Source organism: Homo sapiens, chromosome X (assembly GCF_000001405.40).
Source record: "Homo sapiens chromosome X, GRCh38.p14 Primary Assembly".
Taxonomy (NCBI): Eukaryota; Metazoa; Chordata; class Mammalia; order Primates; family Hominidae; genus Homo; species Homo sapiens.
The window spans coordinates 118,004,219-118,031,392 of NC_000023.11; the positions used below are offsets into that span (position 1 = coordinate 118,004,219).

Consider the following 27,174-nt stretch of genomic DNA (forward strand, 5'->3'; position numbering starts at 1 on the left):
TTTCAATGGATAAAGATATAAACATATATGTATAAATGTGTATATGTATTTATGTGTGTATATACATGTATACAAATATTTCCTAGCTCTCTCCATCAAAAGGGCCTTGGAACAGCAATACTGGAATAGCAATGAGCACTCCTAGCAAACAGATTTTGGTTCGAGATATGATTATCCACTAAAAGGAACCATGATGCCTGATTCCAGAGCTAATGCAGAGAAAGTACAAGATGAACTGGAATGTAATGAAGCACTCAGAAAGTACAAGATAAACTCCAAACATAAGGAAGGATGATTGAGACTTGTGAAAAAGATACATAAACCAGCTTGAAGGGGATCATACAAATATGAGACCATTTGGCATCAAAATAAATCAAGGATTATAACAATAAAATAGGAAACTATGATTCCATATTGATGCAATAAATGAAATATTGAAAGTCTGATAAGGGATAAGATATTTGTATAGTCTCAAAGTATTCTCAACCTCATCAGAAATACTATTAATTAGAAATAAAAGAAAAAGTAACCTTGCAGTGGAGAGGCCTGACAGATACCACCTTAATCAAGTTATCAAGTTGTATGGGACAAATCAATATCAGGTGCCACCTGATAGGATGCAATGAGAAGATCATGTCTGTGCAATTCCTGCTGAAGAAGCAAAACCTCAATAATATCATGAGGAACAATTAAGACTAATGAAAACTGAGGGACATTCTGCAAATTAACTGGCCTGTAATCTTCAAAAGTGTCAAGGTCATGAAAGTCAAGAGAAGACTGAGAAAGTGTTCCAGATAGAAAAACACTAAAAAGACATTACAATTAATTGCAATGCATAATTCTGAAGTTGAGCTTTCTGCTGTCAATAACACTTTTGGGATAACTGGAAAAAATTTGAATGGGCTTTGATTACAATGTATTAATGTTATCAGGGACTTGAGCATCTGTGAATTTTTGCAGTCTCAGGGGGTCCTGGAACCAATGCCCCACAGATAACAACAGATGACTGTATATATAAAATATTAAACAATTATTCATAATGGCTGGAAACTATCTTGCATGGAGGGCACTGGGACAAAGATTTGTGATAAATATTTTTGAAAATAATTTTTTAACTTGAAAACAGCCATTATCTTAATACCCTCCAAAAGAAAACTCACAGTATGGTATAGTTGACATAGATATAGGGTGTGGTAGGCAGAATAATGGGTCCCCAAAGATGTCCACATCTTAATTCCTGGGACCTATGCATATGTTGCCTAACATAGCAAGAGATGATGCAGGTGTGATTAAGTTAAAGACTGTGAGATGGGGAGATTATCCTGGATTATTCAGTTGTGCTCCTCAACATTGGAAGAGGAAAGCAGCAGAGGTTCAAGTGAGGAGATGTGAGAAAGATTTGACCCAGCACTGCTGGCTTCGAAGATGGAGGAAGAGAGACACAAGCAAAGGCACATAGGTGGCCTCTGGACGCTGGGAAAGGCAAGGAAACGGATTTTCCCCTACAGCCTCCAGAAAGGAACACAGTCCTTTAATTTTAGGCCAATGACCGGCAGAACTGTAAGGTAACAAATCAGTGTTCTTTTAAGGCACTGGAGTTATGGTAATTTGTTACAGCAGCAATAGAAAACTAAGACATGGGCCTAAAAATAGCTGGAAAGAAATTGTGTAATGATTTTAGCAGTCTTTTCTAGGGAAAACAACAACTGAGGCAGGAGAGTGAAGTGTAACTGAATTAACAATGTTGTTAACAGCAAGGGCTGTGCCTGGATGTAGATGTGTCATTAAATATATGTTTAAGGCCATATAATACATCAGAATTGCACACATAGCAAAGTTTAGAACAGACTGGGTTGAGTTTCCATTCTATTTTTATCCATCTCCCTACCACCCAGTGATTATTAGATCAATACTTACTTTCTATCCAACCCACAGAAAAGAAACTACTGGAACTATTTAGATAAGAGGGAAAGTATTTTACATACAAAAATGGTGGTAAAGGCTATACTAATTTAACTATAAATACTAAGTTCATCACATGGACTGTACAATAGTGAAAGTCTAACAGAATGTATTTTACCAAAGAAGGGTTTTATTTTGCATTAAATATGTGAAATGCAGATTTCTGAGGCAAAAATAACTCTTAATTGTGCCAAAAAAAAAAAGAAAAACCAAACCTCTGGGTACTCATGTCTTGGCCCTTTACCTTGCTACATGAACTTGGACAAATGATCTCACCTTTGAATATCAGATTCCCTGTCATTTTACATTTGAGAGGGTTAACACTATCTCTACAATCTTTTCCTCTCTAAAAAAAGTGTAGTATGTTATTTGTGGAGCCACAGCTATTCTTAGAAAAACAAATAGACTTAACTCTGCCTTCAGCTCCTTTCAAAAAAATCAGCTTGAATTTATTCAGGGTCCACCTTTCAGGGAGAACACAGTGATTCAAGCATATTATCTCATTAATTTTCAAGACAGGAGAAAGTATTTCTGTTCTAAAAACAAAAAAAAAGGAAGAAGAAAGAAACTGGTACCACTGTTAAGTTGGCAGAGTCAAGACCAGAAAACAGTGGTTTTCAAACTCCACACTCAGTATCACATTCTGCCTTTACAACAGAAAGGTCAATCAGGTAAATAAACTACCCTTAAAGGGAAATGGGAAGGAGTATAGTAGTATACTTGAAAGCTAGTATTAATATACTTTCCCCTTCATATCACATGAGTAAAGGATAAATGTAACATTAAGGGGCAGGCATTGGGGGCCAGAGATCAAATAATTATCGCTCCCTAGAGGCCTTATTAGACTTAGCACTGCTTCAGGGAATCTAGAGAGAAAAGTGTGTTCTAAGTGACCTCCCACTGATTTGAGTAGCCTCCCAAGTTTGAGAAGTCAAAAGTAGGAGTCAGCCAGGTGAGGTGGCTCATGCCTATAAGCCCAGCACTTTGGGAGGCCCAAGTGGGAGGATCGCTTGTGGGCCAGGAGTTCTAAGCCAGCCTGGTGAACATAGCGAGACCCCATCTCTACAAAATAGAAAAAATTAGCCAGGCGTGGTGGTGTGCACCCGTAGTCCCAGCTATTCAGGAGGCTGAGGTGGGAGAATCACTTGAGCCACTGCACTCCAGCCTGGGCAACAGAAGGAGACCCTGTCAAAAAAAAAAAAAAAAAAAAAAAGAGAGAGAGACCTGCCAGCCCTGGACAATGGCTGATCTCAGCCAAATTTGGACAAAGTTATATATTAGTATTTTCAATAATGTGCCAGGGAAAAAGAAATGACACTGTCTACATCCAGGCACAGCTCTTCCTGTCAAAAACAACATTAAATTTAATTTGGATTCACTCTGCTGCTTCTGTTGTTTGTTTCCCCTAAAACAGACTGCAAAGGTCACTAGAGGATTTTATTCTAGCTATCTATAGCTCATATCTATATCAGCTATGTCGTGCTGTGCTGATATAGGAAAACATCTTTACCTTCAGGATCATGCATTTCATAACACACCATGGATACAGAGGGCCTCAGGAAGGGAGGAGGACACATTGCCCTTCTCTCAATGGTGGATTAAGGACTCTTAGAAGAGAATCATAGTATGCCTATCTGTGGATCACAAAGCCTTTAAATTGCCATAGCTATTAATAAGTCCCAAAGACAGGCATGGAAACTATAATCCAATGAAAAGGTAGATCTTCCAGGGAAAAAAGGTATTAATCTTTTTCTTTTCATTTTAATCTGAAACAAAGCAATGGTACAAAGAAAACCAAGTGTCGAATGGAGGGAAGGGGTCAAAATATCACACAGCACTGATAACCAGAAAGACAAAGGAAAACTTTGTCCTTTGGCTATATATTTTTAGAAGCATCCACATTAAGGCTCTGAATTATTTCATGGGTCCATATTCCTGGTCACATGTAACCCAAAATAGAACATTACACAACTGTTGTTCAGGAGCCTTTGAAAATTTTACATAATCTTTCTAACGCTCACCTTGTAACTGTGTTTGCTGGGAAGATGAAAAGGGGAAAAAATAAAAGACTGAAAAAGGAGGGAAGTGAACATCTGTTAAAAGAAAAAATTACCTTTATCAACTTCCAGGCTTCCAACTCATTAATAGTACTTAACCTATCAGCGTAAATGTATGCACACCCAAAATAAGCAGAACTAGCTTGGCCTTAGGGTAAACGCCATAGGTGGCTATTACAATGACTCTTGCCAATACAACCAATGTACTACTAGTATTGGAACTTTAATATCTACTACAGACACCACAGAAATAAGATCTAATACTATGGGAGCTGTAAGAAAGGGACACCTAATTCTGCTAGGAAGAGACAGGAGGACACATTCCTCTACATTCACTTCCTGCACTCTCTAAAAAGATCATCATGAGAAGTATTTATTACTGCCATGAATTAGTTTTAGGTAATGAGACACAGGAGAGGTGATACAGGACAGGCAAAACCCTTGTCCTCAGGGAGTTTGCATTCCAGGGAAGGAAAAAGACTGGCATATGGCTAAATGCAAAGACTCTGGAGCTAGACTTCCTGCATTTGAACCCTGGATCCATGCTTATTTACTGTGTGGCCTTAGACAATTTACTTAATCTCTCTGTGCCTCAAAGTCCTTGTTTGTAAAATGGGAATAATAATGATGAGTATCTACTTCATAAAGTTATTATGAGAATAACATAAATTAATATGCATAAAGGTTTTGTACCTAGTACAAAGTAACGCTATTTAAGTGTTAGCTATTATAATGACTCTTGCCAATACAACTACTATGAGTACTGGGACTTCAATCTCTCCTAACAACACCAAAATATAAGAGTCAATGCTATTGAGAAGTGTCTGTTCATGTCCTTTGCCCACTTTTTGATGGGGTTGTTTGTTTTTTTCTTGTAAATTTGTTTGAGTTCATTGTAGATTCTGGATATTAGCCCTTTGTCAGATGAGTAGGTTGTGAAAATTTTCTCCCATTTTGTAGGTTGCCTGTTCACTCTGATGGTAGTTTCTTTTGCTGTGCAGAAGCTCTTTAGTTGAATTAGATCCCATTTGTCAATTTTGGCTTTTGTTGCCATTGCTTTTGGTGTTTTGGACATGAAGTCCTTGCCCATGCCTATGTCCTGAATGGTAATGCCTAGGTTTTCTTCTAGGGTTTTTATGGTTTTAGGTCTAACGTTTAAATCTTTAATCCATCTTGAATTGATTTTTGTATAAGGTGTAAGGAAGGGATCCAGTTTCAGCTTTCTACATATGGCTAGCCAGTTTTCCCAGCACCATTTATTAAATAGGGAATCCTTTCCCCATTGCTTGTTTTTCTCAGGTTTGTCAAAGATCAGATAGTTGTAGGTATGCGGCGTTATTTCTGAGGGCTCTGTTCTGTTCCATTGATCTATATCTCTGTTTTGGTACCAGTACCATGCTGTTTTGGTTACTGTAGCCTTGTAGTATAGTTTGAAGTCAGGTAGTGTGATGCCTCCAGCTTTGTTCTTTTGGCTTAGGATTGACTTGGCGATGCGGGCTCTTTTTTGGTTCCATATAAACTTTAAAGTAGTTTTTTCCAATTCTGTGAAGAAAGTCATTGGTAGCTTGATGGGGATGGCATTGAATCTGTAAATTACCTTGGGCAGTATGGCCATTTTCACGATATTGATTCTTCCTACCCATGAGCATGGAATGTTCTTCCATTTGTTTGTATCCTCTTTTATTTCCTTGAGCAGTGGTTTGTAGTTCTCCTTGAAGAAGACATTTATGCAGCCAAAAAACAATGAAAAAATGCTCATCATCACTGGCCATCAGAGAAATGCAAATCAAAACCACTATGAGATACCATCTCACACCAGTTAGAATGGTAATCATTAAAAAGTCAGGAAACAACAGGTGCTGGAGAGGATGTGGAGAAATAGGAACACTTTTACACTGTTGGTGGGACTGTAAACTAGTTCAACCATTGTGGAAGACAGTGTGGCGATTCCTCAGGGATCTAGAACTAGAAATACCATTTGACCCAGCCATCCCATTACTGGGTATATACCCAAATGACTATAAATCATGCTGCTATAAAGACACATGCACACGTATGTTTATTGCGGCATTATTCACAATAGCAAAGACTTGGAACCAACCCAAATGTCCAACAATGATAGACTGGATTAAGAAAATGTGGCACATATACACCATGGAATACTATGCAGCCATAAAAAATGATGAGTTCATGTCCTTTGTAGGGACATGGATGAAATTGGAAATCATCATTCTCAGTAAACTATCGCAAGAACAAAAAACCAAACACCGCATATTCTCACTCATAGGTGGGAATTGAACAATTAGATCACATGGACACAGGAAGGGGAATATCACACTCTGGGGACTGTGGTGGGGTGGGGGGAGGGGGGAGGGATAGCATTGGGAGATATACCTAATGCTAGATGACGAGTTAGTGGGTGCAGCGCACCAGCATGGCACATGTATACATATGTAACTAACCTGCACAATGTGCACATGTACCCTAAAACTTAAAATATAATTTAAAAAAAAAAAGAGTCAATGCTAGGGGAGCCATTAGAAAGGGATACTTGGCCACATGTGGTGGCTCACGCCTGTAATCCCAGTACTTTGGGAGGCTGAGGTGGGTGAATCACTTGAGCCCAGGAGTTGAAGACCAGCCTGGGCAACACGGCAAAACCCCATTTCTAAAAAAAATACAAAAATTAGCCAGGCATGGTGGCACACGCCTGTCGTCCCAGCTACTCAGGAGGCTGAGGTGGGAGAATCACCTGAGCCTGGGAAGTCAAGGCTGCAGTGAGCCATGATTGCACCACTGTACTCCAGCCTGGGTGACAGAGTGAGACACTGTCTCAAAATAAATAAATAAATAAATAAATAAATAAGAAAAGGACACCTAATTCTGCTTGGAAGAGGCATGGCATATATTTCAGTGAAAGTTTCACAGAGAGGTCCTGAATGATAAACAGGAATGGGTTAGGCCCAACATATGAGAGAAAGCATTCCAGAAAGAAGGGTGGCAATATGAGGGAACGGGTCATCTTCCAGTGTTGGGGAAGGCTGCAATGCATGCTCTGTGCAGGAGAAAAGCCTGGTGAGGTAGACAGGAGCCATATAAGAGACCTTGCCACACTGGCAGCCACTGAAGAAATCTAAACAAGAAAACAATATGACCATATTTACATTTCAGAAAGATCATTATGGCTGCAAAGAGAGAGAGAAACTGTCAGGGGAGAAGGGGAGGGCTAAGACTAGAAGCAAAAAAAAAAAACAGATTAGAAGGATATTTTAATGATCTAGCTGACAAATTATGTGGGCCAAATCTAAGGAAGTGATAATAAGGATAAAACAGCAGGGGGAGTGAATTGGAGAAATAATTGGGAAGGAGAAGTGGACTTAGAGACTAACTGAGTGTGAAGGATGAGAAAGGGTCCAGGATGATGCCCGAGTTTCTGAGTCAGACACCTGAGTGAATGGTGGTGTCATCAAACAATACCAAGAATATAGATGACAAGGCAGGTACTCAGGGCTAAGATTACATGGGATTGGACATTGGATATGTCATGTTTACAATACTGGGGAATCTTTGTGTTGAATAAACATTTGTATTTATGAGATCCAAAATATTAACAGCGCTTTCAGTGCAGTGGGATTATACTTTCCTATAATTTTTCCAAATACTTCTCAATGAGCATAAATTATACAATTGGATAAGAAAAATATAGATAAATATTTGAATATTCAATTTTAAATAACAAATAGCTAGTTACTTCTGATCCTACCTTGCCCAACTTACTGTTAAATATCTTGTAGACAGAGTCAGGAAAACCAGTGCCAGCACTGAAACTGAGACCTGGCAATGTTGTTGCTTTTTAAAGCAGCCAGAGTTCTAGTACCTTTTACTGTGTGCCCCTTTCTGACCACCACTACCATCAATTCCTCTTTGTGCTTATATCAAGTCAGAAATTACAGCTCCTGGTATATATTAGGAAGCCTTTGTGCCAGACTCTGAAAATAAGGCATACTAACTTATTTCCACTGTGACAAATGATCACAAATGGTGGCTTTAAACAACCCTAGTTGATGATCTTACAGCTCTGGAGGTCAGAAATCAAAAATTAACTATTGGCAAAGCTTCAGGGGAGAGATGGTTTTCTTGTTGTTGTTATTTTTTTTCCCCAGATTCTAGAGGCTACCTGCATTCTTGGCTTGTGGCACCTTCCTATATCTTCAAAGAGCATCACTCCAACCTCTGGACCCATCATCACATCTCCTTTTCCTGACTCGCACCTGTGTCCCTTTTATAAGGATCCTTGTGATTGCAATGGGCCTGCCTGAACGGTCCAGGATAATCTCCTCATCTCATAGACCTTAACTTAATCACATCTGCAAGTCCACTTTGCCATGAACAGTGTCATAGTCACAGGTTCTGGGGATTAAAATGTGGCCATCCTGGGCGGGGGCGGGGGCAGGGGGCGGGGGTATTCTGTCTACTGCTGGTAGTATTTGTCAGATTTCTTCACTATAAAGTTACCATTTTTTTTTCCATTCCACATTCTTTTCTTTGTAAGTGAATCATTAAATTAACACCAGTGGAAGGAGAATAAAGTTCCAGCCTCTAAAGAAGGTATATATACAAACAAACATTCACAAATAAAATATGGAATTCTTCTGTAAGGAAGACTTGTCTCTTCTACCCTACTTATTTATTCAATCGTTTATTTCTATTAGTATTGACTCATGGATAAAAATCAGAGAAAACGGTGGGATTAGTGCACAAGAGCACAGACAGAGGGGAAATGGTTAATTCCTTTATTCATTCATTCAGCAAATATTTATTGAGTAACTTGTCTGTAAGAAATGGTTGTAGGTGCTGCGATTAAAGCAGTAAACAAGTTGAACAAGATGCCTGGCCTCTTGGAGCTTCTATTCCAGTGAAAGGGGATAGAAAATAAATAAAGAAGGAAAATATCTAATAGTTGGAATGATGAGTCTTATGGAGAGAATTAAATTGGGATGGTGTGACAATAGACAGTATACAGGTGGCCACTTTAGATTGGATGGTCAAAGGAAACCTCTCAGAGGAGAGGATATTTAAGTAAAGATCTAGACAACAAGAGTCAGCCACATAAAGACCATGAACAAAAAACATTTTAAACAACAGTACAAAGGCCTTTCAGGGAATCTTTCTTCCTTTGAGAATGAACAGACAAAAACAAAAACAACTAGCATGGAAAGCAGCAATGGAAATATATTGAAAAACACTATTTATTGAATAAGGAAACATGACTTCAATGAGCCAGGAAGAGAAAGCCAAGTAAGATAAGATGAGGAAAGATATAAATTACGTTGGTCGAGGAAACTAAAGGAAACTAAACCAATGTGACAAACAAAATGTACATTAAAGGGAGTAAAGAGAGGATTTGACACAGTATAGAGCAAAAATCAATAAATAGAAGGAAAAAAGATAAATTATAACAGATATGGAAGGCACTACTACAACTAATACCCCCATGTTGCAGGAAGTCAGAGACCCCGAACGGAGAGACCGGCTGGAGCCGAGGCAGAACATAAATTGTGAAGATTTCATGGACATTTATCAATTCCCAAAATTAATACTTTTATAATTTCTTACACCTGTCTTTACTGCAATCTCTGAACATAAATTGTGAAGATTTCATGGACATTTGTGACTTCCTCAATCAATACTCTTATAATTTCTTATGCCTGTCTTTACTTTAATCTCTTAATCCTGTTATCTTCGTAAGCGGAGAATGTATGTCACCTGAGGACCACTATTGTACAAATTGATTGTAAAATATGTGTGTTTGAACAATATTAAATCAGTGCACCCTAAGAAAGAACAGAATAACAGTGATTTTCAGGGAACAAGGGAAGATAACCATGAGGCCTGACTGCCTACAGGGTTGGGCAGAACAGAGCCATATTTTTCTTCTTGCAGAGAGCCTATAGATGGAAGTGTGAGTAGGAGAAATATCACTGAATTCTTTTCCCAGCAAGGAATATTAATAATTGGGACCCTGGGGAAGAAATGCATTCCTGAGGGTAGGTCTATAGATGGTTGCTCTGGAAGTGTCTGTCTTATGGGTTTGAGATAAGGACTGAAATACACCCTGGTCTCCTGCAGTGCCTTCAGGCTTACTAGGATTGGGAAATTCCAGCCTGGTAAATTCTAGTCAGACCAGTTCTCTGCTCTTGAACACTGTTTCCTGTTAAGATGTTTATCAAGACAATGCATGCACAGCGGCACACAGACCCTCATCAGTATTCTAATTTTGCCTTTGCCTTGTGATCTTTTATTGCCCTTTGAAGCATGTGATCTTTTTGACTTACTCCCTTTTCATACACCCCCTCCCCTTTTAGAATCCCTAACAAAAACTTGCTGGTTTTGCAGCTCAAGTGGATATCACAGAACCTGACGATATGTGACTTCGCCTCCAGCGGCCCAGCTATAAAATTCTTCTCTTTGTACTCTGTCTCTTTATTTCTGAGACCAGCTGACACTTAGGGAAAATAGAAAAGAACCTACATTGAAATATTGGGGGCTGATTCCCCCAATACCCCCAAAATGGAATTGGCCTAAATATCTAATATTAAGACATTGTTTGTACCACAGAATGGCTTATGCCATGCAGCTATTATAACTACAAGTCTTTACTGATGTCAAAATATTCAAAATCTAATAAGAAAAACAGGGAGGTACAGACATGATATATAGTATAATAAAACAGTAAGCGCTTCCATTTACTGAGCATTTACCATATGACAGGAACTTAACCATATTACAAACATTTTATTTAATCCACAGAACAATCCCACACAGTGATATCACTTTATTTTACAGATGAGGAAATGGACTCATAGGAGTTAAGACACTTTCCAAATTTCACACAGCTAGTAAGTAGCAGAGTTTGAATGACACCTATATTTGGCAGACTTCAGAGCCTCACCCTTAACCACACTACTATAACTAGATCATATTCAATAAGTAAAACCTTAGTTACATTTAAAAATGTATCAGAAGACTAGAGTGAAAATACATCGAGGTGTTAACAGAGGCTATCTTATGTGATTATTTACCCTGCATATATATAATTTTCTATTTTTCTAAGTGTTCTGTAATAAATATGTATTACTTGTAGAGTCCAAACAAACAAACAAAAAATTGTGGAGGGAGAAAATAAACAACTTTTAGTCTGGGACTCAGAAAAAATTGAGACTCGAGCTATAAATGAAAGGTCTTTAGTATGTAGGCAAGGACTGAAATAATTGCGGTAGATGAGATTGCACAGGAAGAATGTAAATATGAACAGCAACACTCAAGATAGGTAGGATGACTGAAATTGGAGTAGCAATTATTCTCCCCAAGAACAGATATACTTTCTATGACCTGGAAAATTCCTTCAAATATATAAAACATGCAACATTACTAACAAGCCCATATCCTTTGTATGAAAACATGCAACTCTTCAGTTATAGGAACAAATATGGTGATAAATTTCATGTGCGTCTACCATAAGATCTTATGACAATAATAGTGGATAACCAAAACCTACAGAATTTTTAAACCAAAATAATTCCAATGTATAAAAAGTAACTGGTCTCAGAATTTCATGTGTTACCCTCTTATTATTTTTATTGGCTAGATCTTCTAGCCAAAGATTTGGCTTACAATTATTGCCACGCTTACTTCACCCATGATAAAACCAGACCCTCACAAGTTTTTAATCTTCAAAAAACACAGAAAAGATACCTTCATTGAAAGTGAGAAAACCAAATTATGATAAATTAATAAAAGGACTTATCTCCAATGGCTGATCACCTTGTTAAATTTGTTTTATATGAAGTTAATCACATATGTGTTTCTTTAGCATGTACTATGTGCTTCGTCTTAAAAATATAATTTTAGACTTTTAAAATGAAAAGAAAGATTTCCATCTTCCAATTCTTACATGTGACAGATGAGGACACCACTTGACAAATAGTAAAGGCTAAATATTTTTAAACATGGAATGACCTGATTCCCAGCCCTGTATTCCCTTGACATTCTACACCATGAAGACATGATTATACATTACGTCAGTACAAAAGTCTGGGCTTATTCCTAGAATCTATACTAAATTCAGTTAGCCTACTTTACAGTCTTAAAGACTGTCACTTAATATTAAATTACTTAACTATAAGTAAGAGTTAACTGTGGGAAACAAAAGAAAACTACTCTAAACCATTTTACTGAATAAAATCACCATCCAGTAATTGTTAATAAATGGTACAACTTCTACAGGTATTTACTGAAAGCTTACTATGTGCAAAATCTTGCATTATGTACAATACAGGATATAAAAATACATTAGATACAGCCAGTCACTCTCTGAAAGGGCTCCCTTAGGCATAAGCAAATAAAGGCTCAAATTACTTCAATGCAGAACCAAACATGATAAAATTCATTGCAGTGGTAAAGTAGTTCAGAGGCAAGAAGCTCTCCTGATCTTGTGATTGGATTGATCAGATGAGGCTTTATGTAGGGTATGGAATTCAGTATGGGTCTTGAGGAACAAGTAGGATTTTAATAGTCATAAACAGGAAAGGACAGTCTAGGTGACATTATCAGATTAACAATTTTAAAAGAACCTTCTGCCTAGAGTGTGAAGAAACCAGTTGGTTCCCAAACATTGTAAAATTCATCCCTAAGTATTTCACAAATGCATTCCCTTTCATTCATTCCCACTGCCATCACCTTTGTTCAGACTCTTTTCATTTCTTTCTTTGACTGCTACAATAGACTGATCACTGGTCTCCTAATTTTCCCGTCCTCCTTCCCCAAATAATCCACACAGCCACCAAAGTGATCTTTCTAGCAGTATAAGGCAGATCACATCACTCTTCTGTTTGTAAGCTTCAGTAGATCTCTGCAGTCTGTGAAGTATGTAAACTCTTTAGCATAAACATAAAATGCTTCTTAACTTGATCCATACCTCCCTCTCCTAACTCATCTCCAGCCTTTTCTTACTTTGCTCCTTATTATTATAATTAATAATCATCTGATTTTGATTATAGCTCTGTGAATGCATCATGCTTTTTCATGCCTTCATGCATAGTAGTGCAATGTGAGATTAACATTGGATGTTATCCTAAAATTAAGATACAGCTATAGAATAATTTGAAAGCGAAAAGGCAACATGGCTAGATTTGAATTCTGAAAAGAGAACTCTAATTAGAACCTAGAGAAAAATGAACTAACCAATTGGTTATTGCAGGACGTCAGGCAAAAGATGAGAGTAGCTTGAACTAAGATGGTGGTAGTAGAGTGGAAATGGAGAGAAGTAGAAGAAACATGACTTCACTCATAAAGCCTGTCCTGACCCTCCCAAGACCCGGTGTATATATGTGTTATACACAGTCAGTAGCACCCCATATGTCCTTTCAACAGCACTTAAGAAACACAATTATTTGTGTGTATTTCCCACTACACAGAAAACCATGTATTAACATTCACTGCTATATCCCTAGCACCCTACCCAGTAAGTGGTGAATAATATTTGTTAAAATGGTAAAAATATGATTGTACAGTGTTTGGCACTCTTTCTCCTGTGTTGGAAATACCAGACGATATTTTATACTGTGTTTCATCTATGAAAGACTACATTTGGAAGACTGAAACTCTGTCAGAGCATTACAGAAATGCTATTAGCTCCAGGAATGCAATCAGAAAATACCGCCACAACAACAAACTGGTGACTCTCACCACAACGTGTCCTCCTAGACATTACCATAATGCATGCATGAGGATGTTCAGATAAGTATACTGTTTCCATCAAAGCAAACCACATGTGGCTGACTTCTCCCTATAGCTCATAAAGCACTAGAATAAAACTTCATATAGGGTAAAATATATGATGGATGGTAGATTACAAGACTAAACACATGCAAGGCTAATAAGAAGTTAATGCCCTTCTACACTGACCTCCGCTCACTCTTAACTCTTTATATTTCCACCTACCTTATTAATTTTTCATAACAATTTTCTTCGTGATATATATTTATTATCTGACCACACCACACCCCCAGAAGAAGGTCAATGAGTAGAAGAACTCATCACTTTTCATCATGCTTTTGCACGTGACAATGTTTAGTTCTTACCAATTACACCATAAATATTTGTTGCATCATAAACAGAACAAATATAGATTTTTTACTAGTCCTTTATTTAGTAAATTAATGAGCAATTACTACATAGCAGACAATGTACTAATAATGGAGATACATTTCTTTCAGATATTCATTAACTTATTGAAGATTTGCTTTGCCAAATTTTTAAATATCCTCCTAAATTTATGTAGAATGTATAGGACAATTTGGAAATAATGTATCTCTTCTTAGCATTCAGTCTTTTATCAAGAACCATGGTATGTATAACTGTCCATTTTTAAAATGTCTTCTTTCCTGTCTCTGAGCAGAATTTTTAAATATTCATAATATAAATCCTAGACATTTTTGTTACGGCTATTATAAATTGATTGTTTGCCATTATATCTTCTAAATGGCGATTTCTGATACAGACAAAAGGTACTGTTTTTAAAAATTTTTATTTATATCCAACTATTTTTTATAACTCATTAGTTCTAGCACTAAGGGGTTGTTTTTAAGACTTAGCTTTTATAGATATACAAGCCTAACCTTTTTATTTCTTTCTATTTTTATTGCATATATTTAAAGTGTACAATATGATGTTTTGGTACACATAGACAGAGTGAAATGATTACTATAGTTAAACAAATTAATATATCCATCACCTTCCAGAGTTGCCTTTTTGTGTGGTAAGAACATCTAAAATCTACTTCCTTGGAAAATTTTCAGAATAGAATATATCATTATTAACTATTGTCCTCATGCCATAGATTACATCTCTAGACTTATTCACCTCACCTAACTGCAAATTTTCATGCTTTGACCTTCTTCTTCCCATTTCTTCCCACTCCTGCCCCTGTGTTTCTATTTGACATTTACAAATACAGTATTTTCATGTGTTTTTTGGCTGCATAAATGTCTTCTTTTGAGAAGTGTCTGTTCATATCCTTCGCCCACTTTTTGATGGGGTTGTTTGTTTTTTTCTTGTAAATTTGTTTGAGCTCATTGTAGATTCTGGATATTAGCCCTTTGTCAGATGAGTAGGTTGAAAAAATTTTCTCCCATTTTGTAGGTTGCCTGTTCACTCTGGTGGTAGTTTCTTTTGCTGTGCAGAAGCTCTTTAGTTGAATTAGATCCCATTTGTCAATTTTGGCTTTTGTTGCCATTGCTTTTGGTGTTTTAGACATGAAGTCCTTGCCCATGCCTATGTTCTGAATGGTATTGCCTAGGTTTCCTTCTAGGGTTTTTATGGTTTTAGGTCTAACGTTTAAGTCTTTAATCCATCTTGAATTGATTTTTGTATAAGGTGTAAGGAAGAGGTCCAGTTTCAGCTTTCTACATATGGCTAGCCAGTTTTCCCAGCACCATTTATTAAATAGGGAATCCTTTCCCCATTGCTTGTTTTTCTCAGGTTTGTCAAAGATCAGATAGTTGTAGATATGAGGCGTTATTTCTGAGGGCTCTGTTCTGTTCCATTGATCTATATCTCTGTTTTGGTACCAGTACCATGCTGTTTTGGTTACTGTAGCCTTGTAGTATAGTTTGAAGTCAGGTAGTGTGATGCCTCCAGCTTTGTTCTTTTGGCTTAGGATTGACTTGGTGATGTGGGCTCTTTTTTGGTTCCATATGAACTTTAAAGTAGTTTTTTCCAATTCTGTGAAGAAAGTCATTGGTAGCTTGATGGGGATGGCACTGAAACTGTAAATTACCTTGGGCAGTATGGTCATTTTCACGATATTGATTCTTCCTACCCATGAGCATGGAATGTTCTTCCATTTGTTTGTATCCTCTTTTATTTCCTTGAGCAGTGGTTTGTAGTTCTCCTTGAAGAGGTCCTTCACATCCCTTGTAAGTTGGATTCCTAGGTATTTTATTCTCTTTGAAGCAATTGTGAATTGGAGTTCACTCATGATTTGGCTCTTTGTTTGTCTGTTGTTGGTGTATAAGAATACTTGTGATTTTTGTACATTGATTTTGTATCCTGAGACTTTGCTGAAGTTGCGTATCAGCTTAAGGAGATTTTGGGCTGAGACAATTTGGCCATCAGAGAAATGCAAATCAAAACCACAGTAAGATACCATCTCACACCAGTTAGAATGGCGATCATTAAAAAGTCAGGAAACAACAGGTGCTGGAGAGGATGTGGAGAAATAGGAACACTTTTACACTGTTGGTGGGACTGTAAACTAGTTCAACCATTGTGGAAGTCAGAGTGGCGATTCCTCAGGGATCTAGAACTAGAAATACCATTTGACCCAGCCATCCCATTACTGGGTATATACCCAAAGGATTATAGATCATGCTGCTATAAAGACACATGCACACGTATGTTTATTGCGGCACTACTCACAATAGCAAAGACTTGGAACTAACCCAAATGTCTAACAATGATAGACTGGATTAAGAAAATGTGGCACATATACACCATGGAATACTATGCAGCCATAAAAATGATGAGTTTATGTCCTTTGTAGGGACATGGATGAAGCTAGAAACCATCATTCTCAGCAAACTATCACAAGGACAGAAAACCAAACACCGCATATTCTCACTCATAGGTGGGAATTGAACAATGAGAACACATGGACACAGGAAGGGGAACATCACACTCTGGGGACTGTTGTGGGGTGGGGGGAGGGGGGAGGGATAGCATTGGGAGATATACCTAATGCTAGATGACGAGTTAGTGGGTGCAGTGCACCAGCACGGCACATGTATACATATGTAACTAACCTGCACATTGTGCACATGTACCCTAAAACTTAAAGTATAATAATAAAAAAATACAGTATTTTTTGTTCGATATCTGCCTTATTTCATTTAGCATAATGTCCTCCACGTTCATCCATGTTGTTGTAAATGGCATTATCTCCTTTTTTTTTATTATTATACTTTAAGTTCTAGGGTACATGTGCACAATGTGCAGGTTAGTTACATATGTATACATGTGCCATGTTGGTTTGCTGCACCCATCAACTCGTCATTTACATTAGGTATATCTCCTAATGTTATCCCTCCCCCCTACCCTTACCCCACGACAGGCCCTGGTGTGTGATGTTCCCCTTCCTGTGTCCAAGTGTTCTCATTGTTCAATTCCCACCTATGAGTGAGAACATGCGGTGTTTGGTTTTCTGTCCTTGTGATAGTTTGCTGAGAATGATGGTTTCCAGCTTCATCCATGTCCCTACAAAGGACATGAACTCATCATTTTTTATGGCTGCATAGTATTCCATAGTGTATATGTGCCACATTTTCTTAATCCAGTCTATCATTGATGGGCATTTGGGTTGGTTCCAAGTCTTTGCTATTGTGAATAGTGTCGCAATAAACATACGTGTGCATGTCTTTATAGCAGCATGATTTATAATCCTTTGGGTATATACCCAGTAATAGGATGGCTGGGTCAAATGGCATTTCTGGTTCTAGATCCTTGAGGAATCGCCACACTGTCTTCCACAATGGTTGAACTAGTTTACAGTCCCACCAACAGTGTAAAAGTGTTCCTATTTCTCCACATCCTCTCCAGCACCTGTTGTTTCCTGACTTTAATGATCGCCATTCTAACTGGCGTGAGATGGTATCTCATTGTGGTTTTGATTTGTATTTATCTGGTGGCCAGTGATGATGAGCATTTTTTCATGTGTCTGTTGGCTGCATAAATGTCTTCTTTTGAGAAGTGTCTGTTCATATCCTTCACCCACTTTTGATGGGGTTGATTTTTTCTTGCAAATTTGTTTAAGTTCTTTGTAGATTCTGGATATTAGCCCTTTGTCAGATGGGTAGATTGTAAAAATTTTCTCTAGGCATTATCTCCTTTTTAAAAGACTGAATAATATCCCATTTGTGTGTGTGTGTCACAATTTCTTTATCCAGTCATCCATTGAAAGTTGTTTCCATATCTTAGCTATTGTGTATAATGTTGCAATGAACATGAAAGCACAGATATCTCGAGGAAGTGCTAATTCCATTACTCTTGCATATATACCCAGAAGTGGGATTACTGGGTCATATGGTAGTTCTGTATTCAGGTTTTTGAGGAACTTCTATACTGTTTACCATAATGGCTGTATCATTTTATATTCCCACCAACAGTGTGTAAGGGTTCTCTTCTCTACATCCTCTCCAACACTTGCTATCATTTGTCTTTCTGATAATGGCCAACCTAATAGGTGCAAGGTGATATCTCATCGTGGTTTTCATTTACATCTCCCTGATGATGTGATGTTGAGCACCTTTTTATATGCCTGTTGGCCATTTTTATGTATTATTTTTTAAAATATATCTATTCAGGTCCTTTGCTCATTTTTAAGTTGTGTTATTTGGTGTGTTTCTTTTCTACTGAGTTATGTAAGTTATGTTAAGATATTAACCCTCATCACATATATGGTTTGCAAATATTTCCTCCCAATATGTAGGCTGCCTTTTCGTTTTGTTTATTGTTTTCCTTCCCATGAAGAAGATTTTTATGTAGTCCCAACTTGTTTATTTTTGTTTCTGTTGCCTAAGCTTTTGGGGTGATATCCAAAAAAATCATTGCCAAGGCCAGTATCAAGGAGTGTTTCCCTTGTGTTTTCTTTTCTTTTTTGTCAAGCTCTTCCTGATAGCTCTGATCCCTTGTGTTTACTTTCAGAAGCTTTATGATTTCAGGCCTTACACTTTGGTATGTAATCCATTTTGCGTTTATTTCTGTGTACAATGTAATATAAGGATCCAGTTTCATTCTTTTGCAAGTGGATATACAGTTTTCCCAGCACTATTTATCTTCTAGGAATTGGTTAATTTTCTCTTCTTCCTTCCATTAATTATGCCTCTTTACTGACATTGGACAGAATTTACAGATATATATTCAATATTATGTTGATTGTGGGCATTCTTATTTTATTGCTGCTTAAGGAACAACTCTTACATATTACCATTAAGTGTGATGCTGAATTGTTGTTTCAGAGAGATAATTTTTTCATATTATAAGTGCAAGTTTCTGTCACTAATCTTTTTTTTTTATACTTTAAGTTTTAGGGTACATGTCTTTTAAGGGCTCTTTTCTATTCTTAAAAGGAGCATGTAATTGTTTTCAAACACCTTTGGATTTTAACTTTTGGTTCTCATTACATCTATGCATTCTATGAATAACTTTCACGATCTTAAACCATTCTCATGCTGGGATAAAACTTTCTTAGTCAAAAAGAGTTTATTCCCTTCATATATTCCATTTTTCTTTTTTGACGGAGTCTTGCTCTGTCACCCAGGCTGGAAGGCAGTGGCACGATCTCAGCTCACTGCAACCTCCGCCTCCCAGGTTCAGGCGATTCTCATGCCTCAGCCTCCCAAATAGCTGGAATTACAGGTGTGCACCACCATGCCTAGCTAATTTTCTTTGTATTTTTAGTAGAGACAGGATTTCACCATGTTGGCCAGGCTGGTCTTGGACGCTTAACCTCAGATAATCCACCCTCCTCAACCTCCCAAAGTGCTGTGATTCCAGATGTGAGCCTTTTCCTATGTTTTACTGTATTTGGAATTTGAAACTGACCCATAATTTGTATATGCATGCAAGCAACGTTTTGCTCAGGTTTTGACATTTGAACTATGCAACTTCCCATTATTTTCTATGTTCTGGATCACATTACTTAGAATCAGAATTATATTTCTTTCAAAGGGGCTTTATTTATAAGAAAGGTTACAAGAGAAGACTCAAAAGTCATTGTGTTATAAACTAGGGTCCATAAGACTAGGTCTCTCTGCAATGCCAGATTTAGCTCAAGTTATCATTCAGTTACCTTGCCATTTACAAAGGTATTAGCTTAGAATTAAAAGTACAAAGAACTTTTCTTCTGTAAAGTGGTCTTATTAATCACTTAGATCTTATGTGGAATCTAGGCCATACATTCACTTCTCTGGTTTGCGGTCAAGAATGCATTTATAATGTGAGGGCTAAAACTGTAAAACTTTTGGAAGAAAACCTCAAATTTGGAAGAGCAAAGATTTCTTGGGCAAGATACAAAAAGCACCAAGCATAACAGAAGAAAAATGATAAACTGAACTTCATTTTAAAAAGAACTACTGCTCATCAAAAGACACAAATACCAGAATTCGAGGGTAAGCCATGGACTGGAAGGAAATATTCACAGTACAAATACCTATATATCCAGAGTGAACTAAAACCTCCTAATAATCAAAATAAAATAATAACCCATTTTTAAATGGCCAAAACACTTGAACATATGCTTCTAAAATATATCCAAATAGCTAATAAACATAAGAAAACCTATTCATATCATTACACATGAGGAAAATGAAGAGTGAAAACCATAATGAGGAAGTACTACACACCCACAGAATGGCTAAAATTAAAGAAGCTAACAATATCAAGTGTTAGTAAAGATTCTCACTTATTATTGGTGGGAGTATAAAATGGTACAACTATTTTCAAAAAACGTTTGGTAGTTTCTACAAATGTTAAACAACAGTAGCTTACTCTATGTCCCAGCAGTTCCACTTCTAGTATACTGTAAATCCAAACAAAATGAGTGCATGTGGCCAAAATAAATTTTATACAAGAATTCTAATAACAGTTTTATGCATTATAGCCAAATGTGGATGCAACTTAAATGACTATCAACAGGAAAATAGATAGAATAAATTGTTGCATATTTAAACAATGAAATATTACACAGCAACAATAAAGAAGGAACTACTGATACATGCAGCTATAAATTCAACATCCCCTGATCTACTCCTGTTTTCACCCAACATGGCCACATATTATCCCTGCTATGATTCCCCTATTTTCTGTATCTGTGAGCAAGTCTGTTTTACAGCCCCTAAGCTGAATATTCCACCCTAGCCCAGATGATAGTACAGTAGTCCCTGCTTATGCATGGTTTCACTTTCCCCTGGTTTCAGTTACCCATGGTCAACCACATTCTAAAGAAAATATCAAATAGAAAACTCCAGGAATAAACAATTTATAAGTTTTCAATTGTGTGTCATTCTGAGTAAGATGATGAAATCTTACACTATCCTACTTCACTCCACCCCACCCACGACGGGAATTATCTCTTTGTCCAGCATCCTTGCCGTAAATGCTACCCACCCATGAGTCACTTAGTAGCCAGTTCAGTTAGTAGATCAACTGCTGAGGTATTTAGTGCTTGTGTTCACGGAACCCTTATTTAACTTAATAATGGCCCATAGTGCAAGAATAGTGATACTGGTGACTTGGATATATCAAAGAGAAGCCATAAAGGGTTTCCTTTAAGTGAAAGGGTCAAAGTTCTTGACTTACAAAAGTATGTTCTCCCTCCACCAGAACACACGTTTTAACTACATAAGAAACCTGCACATCCTGCACATGTATCCCAGAACTTAAAACAAAATTAATTTTTAAAAAACACATGCTGAGGTTGCTCAGATCAACAGTAAGAAAGAAATCTGTTGGTGAAATTGTGGAGAAGGAAGAAGCAGCTTGTGCTAGTTCTGCTGTCACACTCAAACTGCAAAAGTTATGACCACAGTGTATGAAAAGTGCTTAGTTAAGATGGAAAATGTTTATATTTGTGAGTAGAAGAGATGAGCAGAAATATGTTCTGATTGATGACAGTTGGATTCGGTACTATCCTCAGTTTCAGGCAACCTTGGAGCCTTGAAATGTATCCTGCATGGATAAAGGGGGACTACTGTATACATTCCAACAAACAGGCACCCATCATGTTATTTCTCTAATTGGATTATTATGGAAAATTCCTTCTATGGTATCTGTCAAGTAACAGTAACTTTATATATGTTCCCTTCCTACCTCAACCTTTCCTACGTTTTCTGTTCATTTTACAACATGCCTGTATTTTAAAATACCTCGGAATTGAAAAACACAAATACTACATTTTCAAAATAATTAAAATCTCACTTTTATATTTGAATAATATGAGGGATCTTCAAAAAGTTCATGCAAAATGTGTATTTTGAAAAAAACTATGCATGGATTTCAATTTTTTTGCATGAAAATAAACTCATAGTAATGTGTTATAAATGCCTGAACAGGACCCAGTTTGAAGCACTGAGTATAAGACATCAGTTTGAAAAGAGCCTCTATCAAAGCAACATGAATTCTGCTAAAACTGAAGCAAGAACAAACATCAAATTTATCACAAAGTTTGGGTGGAAGAATGATGAAATCGTTGATGCTTTATGAAAAGTTTATGGGGACAATGCCCCCAAAGAAATCAGCAGTTTACAAATGGATAACTCATTTTAGAAAGGGATGAGATGATGTTAAAGATGAAGCCCTCAGCAGCAGATGATCCAAATGAATTTGCAAGGAAAAAATTAATCTTGCTCATGCCCTAATTAAAGAGGACCAGCGAATAACAGCAGACATGATACCCAACACCATAGATACCACAGTTGGTTCAGCTTACACAACTCCAACTGAAAAATTCAAGTTGAGCAAACTTTCCACTTGATGGCTACCAAAACAATTACACATAGATCAGCTGCAGACAAGAAAAGAGCTTTCAATGGAAAATTTTAAACAAGTAGGATCAAGATCCTGAAGTATTTCTTCAAAGAATTGTAACATGAAATGAAACATGGCCTTACCAGTATGATTCTGAAGACAAGCACAATCAAAGCAATGGCTAGGAAAAGGTAGAAGTAACCCAGTCAAAACAAAAGCAGACTGGTCACAAGCAAAAGTCACAACAACAGTTATTTTGGGATGATCAAGACGTTTTGCTTGAGGATTTTCAGAAGGGCCAAAGGACTATATCATCTGTTTATTATGAGAGTGTTTTGAGAAAGTTACCAAAATATTACCAGAAAAATGCCTAGGACAGCTTCAGCAGAAAGTCCTTCTTCACCATAACAATGCTTCTGCTCATTTCTCAAACAAGGGCAATTTTGTGAGAGTTTTGATGGGAAATCATTAAGCACCCATCTTACAGTACTAATTTGGCTCCTTCTGACTTCTTTTTGTTTCCTAGTCTTAAAAACCCTTTAAAGAGCACCCATTTTTCTTCACTTAATAATGTAAAAGAAACATCATTGATATGGTTAAATTCCCAGGACGCTCAGTTCTTTAAATGGCTGGTATCAACACTTAAAAAAGCAACTTGATTTGGGTGGAGCTTATATTAAGAAACAGTTGTTTTTTATTTTTATCTTTTATTTCCATTTTTTCCATGAACTTTTAAAAGTTCCCTCATACTAGCTCATATATACTGCTTACTATCTGCCCAGCTCACTCACTCACACCCGCTCTCTATTTTTTCTCTCTCTCCACACATACACACACACACACACACACACACTTTCATACATGCCCCACCTTTCACACTTATTTAATCTTCACAACAACCCTGCAATGTAGGTACTATTATTAACACCATTTCATAGGTGAGGAAATTGAGGTATAGAATGACTACGAAACTTGCCCAAGGCTATACCACTAGTAAGCATCAGAGCCAGGATACAGACAACTCAAACATACTATTCCAAATGTTTCATCCAAACTGTACAATCAAGCTACTGGGAATAAGACAGACTCTGTCACACCTGCAAACAAGGCTATTTTTCTTTAAATAATAAATTTAAAATCCTAATTTGTCAGAAGAAGCTTTAAATATCTCATAGTAACTCCCTGAAAAGGTTTTAACTGGATTTTTAAATAATATAAATATATACAATCACAGGACAATCCTATTTTTAAAAATGTGTTGTTGGCACTTCTATTCTTAAGCTATGGATACCTGTATTTATTCAGATATGCCTTTAAAACTAAAAATTCAAATAAATATCTCCACTGATTGTATTCCAGGTGCTCATAATTTATACCAATTACATTTTCTAAATATATTCTCTATTTTTTCATTATCTCAGGAAACATTGTCACTAACATCCTCTTTATTCAATTTCTTTGTCACTTAGTCATTCTCTAACTCATTCATACAGTAAATACTTACTTTATACCAAGTATTCAACAAATATTTATTGAATGCCTGCTATGTTAGGTATATAAATAGGAAAGACGTTATATAAGTTAAACTATTTCCATAAATATACCGGTTACGAAGTATTGCAGCAACCAATTCCCCTCTATGCAGATGATCCATCACCTCTAAAAGTTGGATAATGACCTGTTCAGGAGGAAAAGAAGCCAATATTTACTATGAAGATTAACACTGGAATTTTCAACTTCTGTTTTTATAATATTTTTATACTTTTCATGGTTGAATTAAAGGAAAAATGTATGCCCCTGTACTTAATGTTCATATTACATCTTAAGAAAATTAAGAAATTGAATCTTATTTAAAAAACTGAAAGTAAAAATATCTATGAAATTTAATAGTGAATCACTAAATACTATTGACTAAATTTCATGTGAAATCAGTAACTAATGATTATCCATGGAAAAGCAACCAAGTGGAGTAGTCCTCCCTTATCCATGGTTTGGCCTTCTGCAGTTCAAAAAATATTAAACGGAGAATTCTCAAAATAAACAATTCACATGTTTTTAAATTGCACACCATTCTGAGTGGCAGGATAAAATTTCACACTATCCTGCTGCACCTCACCTGGGATGTAAATCATCCTTTTGTGCAGTGTATCCATGCTATATATGCCACTTGTCTCCTAGCCACTTAGTAGCGGTCTCAGTTATCAAAAAAACATAGTATATATAGGGTTCGGTACTCTCCACGTTTTCAGGCATCCACTGGGGGTCTTGGAACATACCACCTGCAGACAAGAGGGACTATTTATACAGGAAATTGGAATAAACTGAGAATCAGAAGACCTAAGGACCCTGTATGAAGTTGGGTTAGACAAGAGAAGTTAGAAGGGGGGAGTTGAGGCAAATACATGCCACATAGATACACACACATAGAGACAGCACTGATTCCCATGTTACCTCAGGAACTTGGGGTCTGAGAAGTCTATAAACAGGGAACACAATTTTAGAATTGGTTGCAAAAAAATATAAGCTAGAAAGGTATAGTACTTTGAAATTCGAAAGACATAAAATAGCGGATAGAAATATTTTCTTGGCCTGCACTGAATTTTTGTTTTGGTGATTATTTTTGTAGGAAAAGAGTAGGTGAGTTTTGGTAAACTCAACTATATCTAAAATATCTACATTTTAGTAATGCCGATGTATAACACTGGGAAGGTAGAATATATTTTATGTATTTATTCTATTCGTTTCAGATATATTGGGAAGCAAAATGTAAATTTTACTTAAATATCTCTTGTTAATAAAATCAATTTATTACATTGGGAAAATAAAAATGCATAATACGCAATTTAGTTTATTCATAAAGTTATGTTGGCTGGGTGCAGTGGCTGATGCCTATAATCCCAGCACTTTGGGATGCCAAGGCGAGCAGATTGCTTCAGTCCAGGAGTTTGAGACCAGCCTGGACAATATGACAACACCCCGTCTCTATAAAAATACAAAAATTAGCTGGGCATGGTGGTATGTGCCTGTAGACCCAGCTACTCAGAGGGCTGAGGTGGAAAGATCTCTTGAGCCCAAGAGGCAGAGGTTGCAGTGAGCCAAGATCACAGAACTGCACTCCAGCCTGGGTGGTAGAGTGAGACCCTGTCTCAAAAAATAATAATAATAAAAGAAAAGAAAAAGAAAAAAGAAGTTATGTGAAGATCTAAAATAATTAAGCAAGCAGGAGGAGGGATTCTTCATTGTCGTCAGCCCTCTTCCAGCCCCTGAATTTAAGGAAAAGAAATAGAAGAGGAAAAAAAACTCTATTTATTGGGTTTTCATAATTCTAAAAAGCAAATAAATCAAATGACATCATTTATGTTTATTTGTACAATCATTTTTCTGCTTATAATTCTGTTATTACAAGTAAAGAAACTGAGTAGGTTAAATGAAATTAATATTTTACACACTCTCACATGAACTGACCTTCGATTTACCTTTTCTAAAACATGTTAAAGTGATGAGAGAATTTGAGATGTTAAAATTTTTTAATTATGTTTAGACTATACAATTATTTAGAAGATGTTGAAAAGGGAAAAATCTATATCTAGATTACTACTAGAAATCTGATAATGTAAAACTAAATAACTCATGCCCTGTTTCACTAATTGCATCTAGGATGAAACATACAGGTCCTGAAATTAGGTATGCAAATTTTCTCTTAATCTCTGCTATGGTTTGAATGTGCCCCCAAAAAAGAATGTGTTGGAAACTTGACCTCAATGCAACACTGTTGGGAGGTGGGGTCTAACAGGAGGTGTTTAGCCATGGGGGCACCACCCTCATGAAGGATTAATGCCATTATCATGGGAATGCGTTCCTTATAAAAGGACAAGTTCAAGTTCATCTTCCTCTTGTGTGTTCTCTCTCTCCCTCTGCCTCTTTTTGCCCTTCCAACTTCTGCCATGGGATGACACAGCAAGAAGGCCCTTGTCAGATGCCAGCCTCTTTTATCTTGAACGTCCTAGCCTCCAGAACTGTGAGAAATAAATTTCTGCTCATTGTAAATCAATCTGTTATATATAAATTATAATGTACTCTGTTATAGCAGCACAAAACAGAATAACACAGTCTTCTTATTTCAACCAACCCTCCTACTGTGCCTGGATTTCTGAGTCTGGGATATTCTTATTCAGATTCTCCAGAAAATAAACTATTTGGTCTCCTGAGGAGCAGGGAGTAGGTGATAGGATATGGAACTGCAGCCACTTATCATAAAGATTTTCAACAAATAACTCATGTATCCAATCTCATGACACATTCCTGCCTTCCACAGACCAGGTACCTCCAAGTCTTAAAATATTAGGAGTTTTATGGGAAGAATTAGTTGGTTTCTCTCAGAAGTTCATGTAGAAGGAGATATTCAAGTTGAAACTTCCATTGCAATAAGTAAAAGTTAGTTTGAACCTTACAACTATCAATGCTCCTACTCCTGTTCTCTTTGTCTTATTGAGTTTTTCCATTACCTTACTCTCTTTTTCATGAAGTTAGGAAGGGAGAAGTAAACACATGTGATCAAGTTTATGTGGGATTT

The 27,174-nt window shown here is 36.8% G+C and overlaps 1 protein-coding gene across 4 annotated transcripts in view; it reads right to left on the reverse strand.

Annotated features, from left to right (window-relative positions):
* The window catches only part of KLHL13 (kelch like family member 13), a 219,528-nt gene that overhangs the window by 106,406 nt on the left and 85,948 nt on the right, over positions 1-27,174 (reverse strand). For 2 of the 4 annotated variants that reach the window (NM_001168301.2, NM_001168302.2), the window contains exon 2: positions 24,206-24,279. The exons of the other annotated variants lie outside the window; for them this stretch is intronic. In NM_001168301.2, the coding sequence (NP_001161773.1) occupies positions 24,206-24,255 (50 nt within the window). In that variant the 5' untranslated portion in view covers positions 24,256-24,279. The remainder of the gene's footprint in view (positions 1-24,205; positions 24,280-27,174) is intronic. 4 annotated transcript variants of the gene reach the window in all.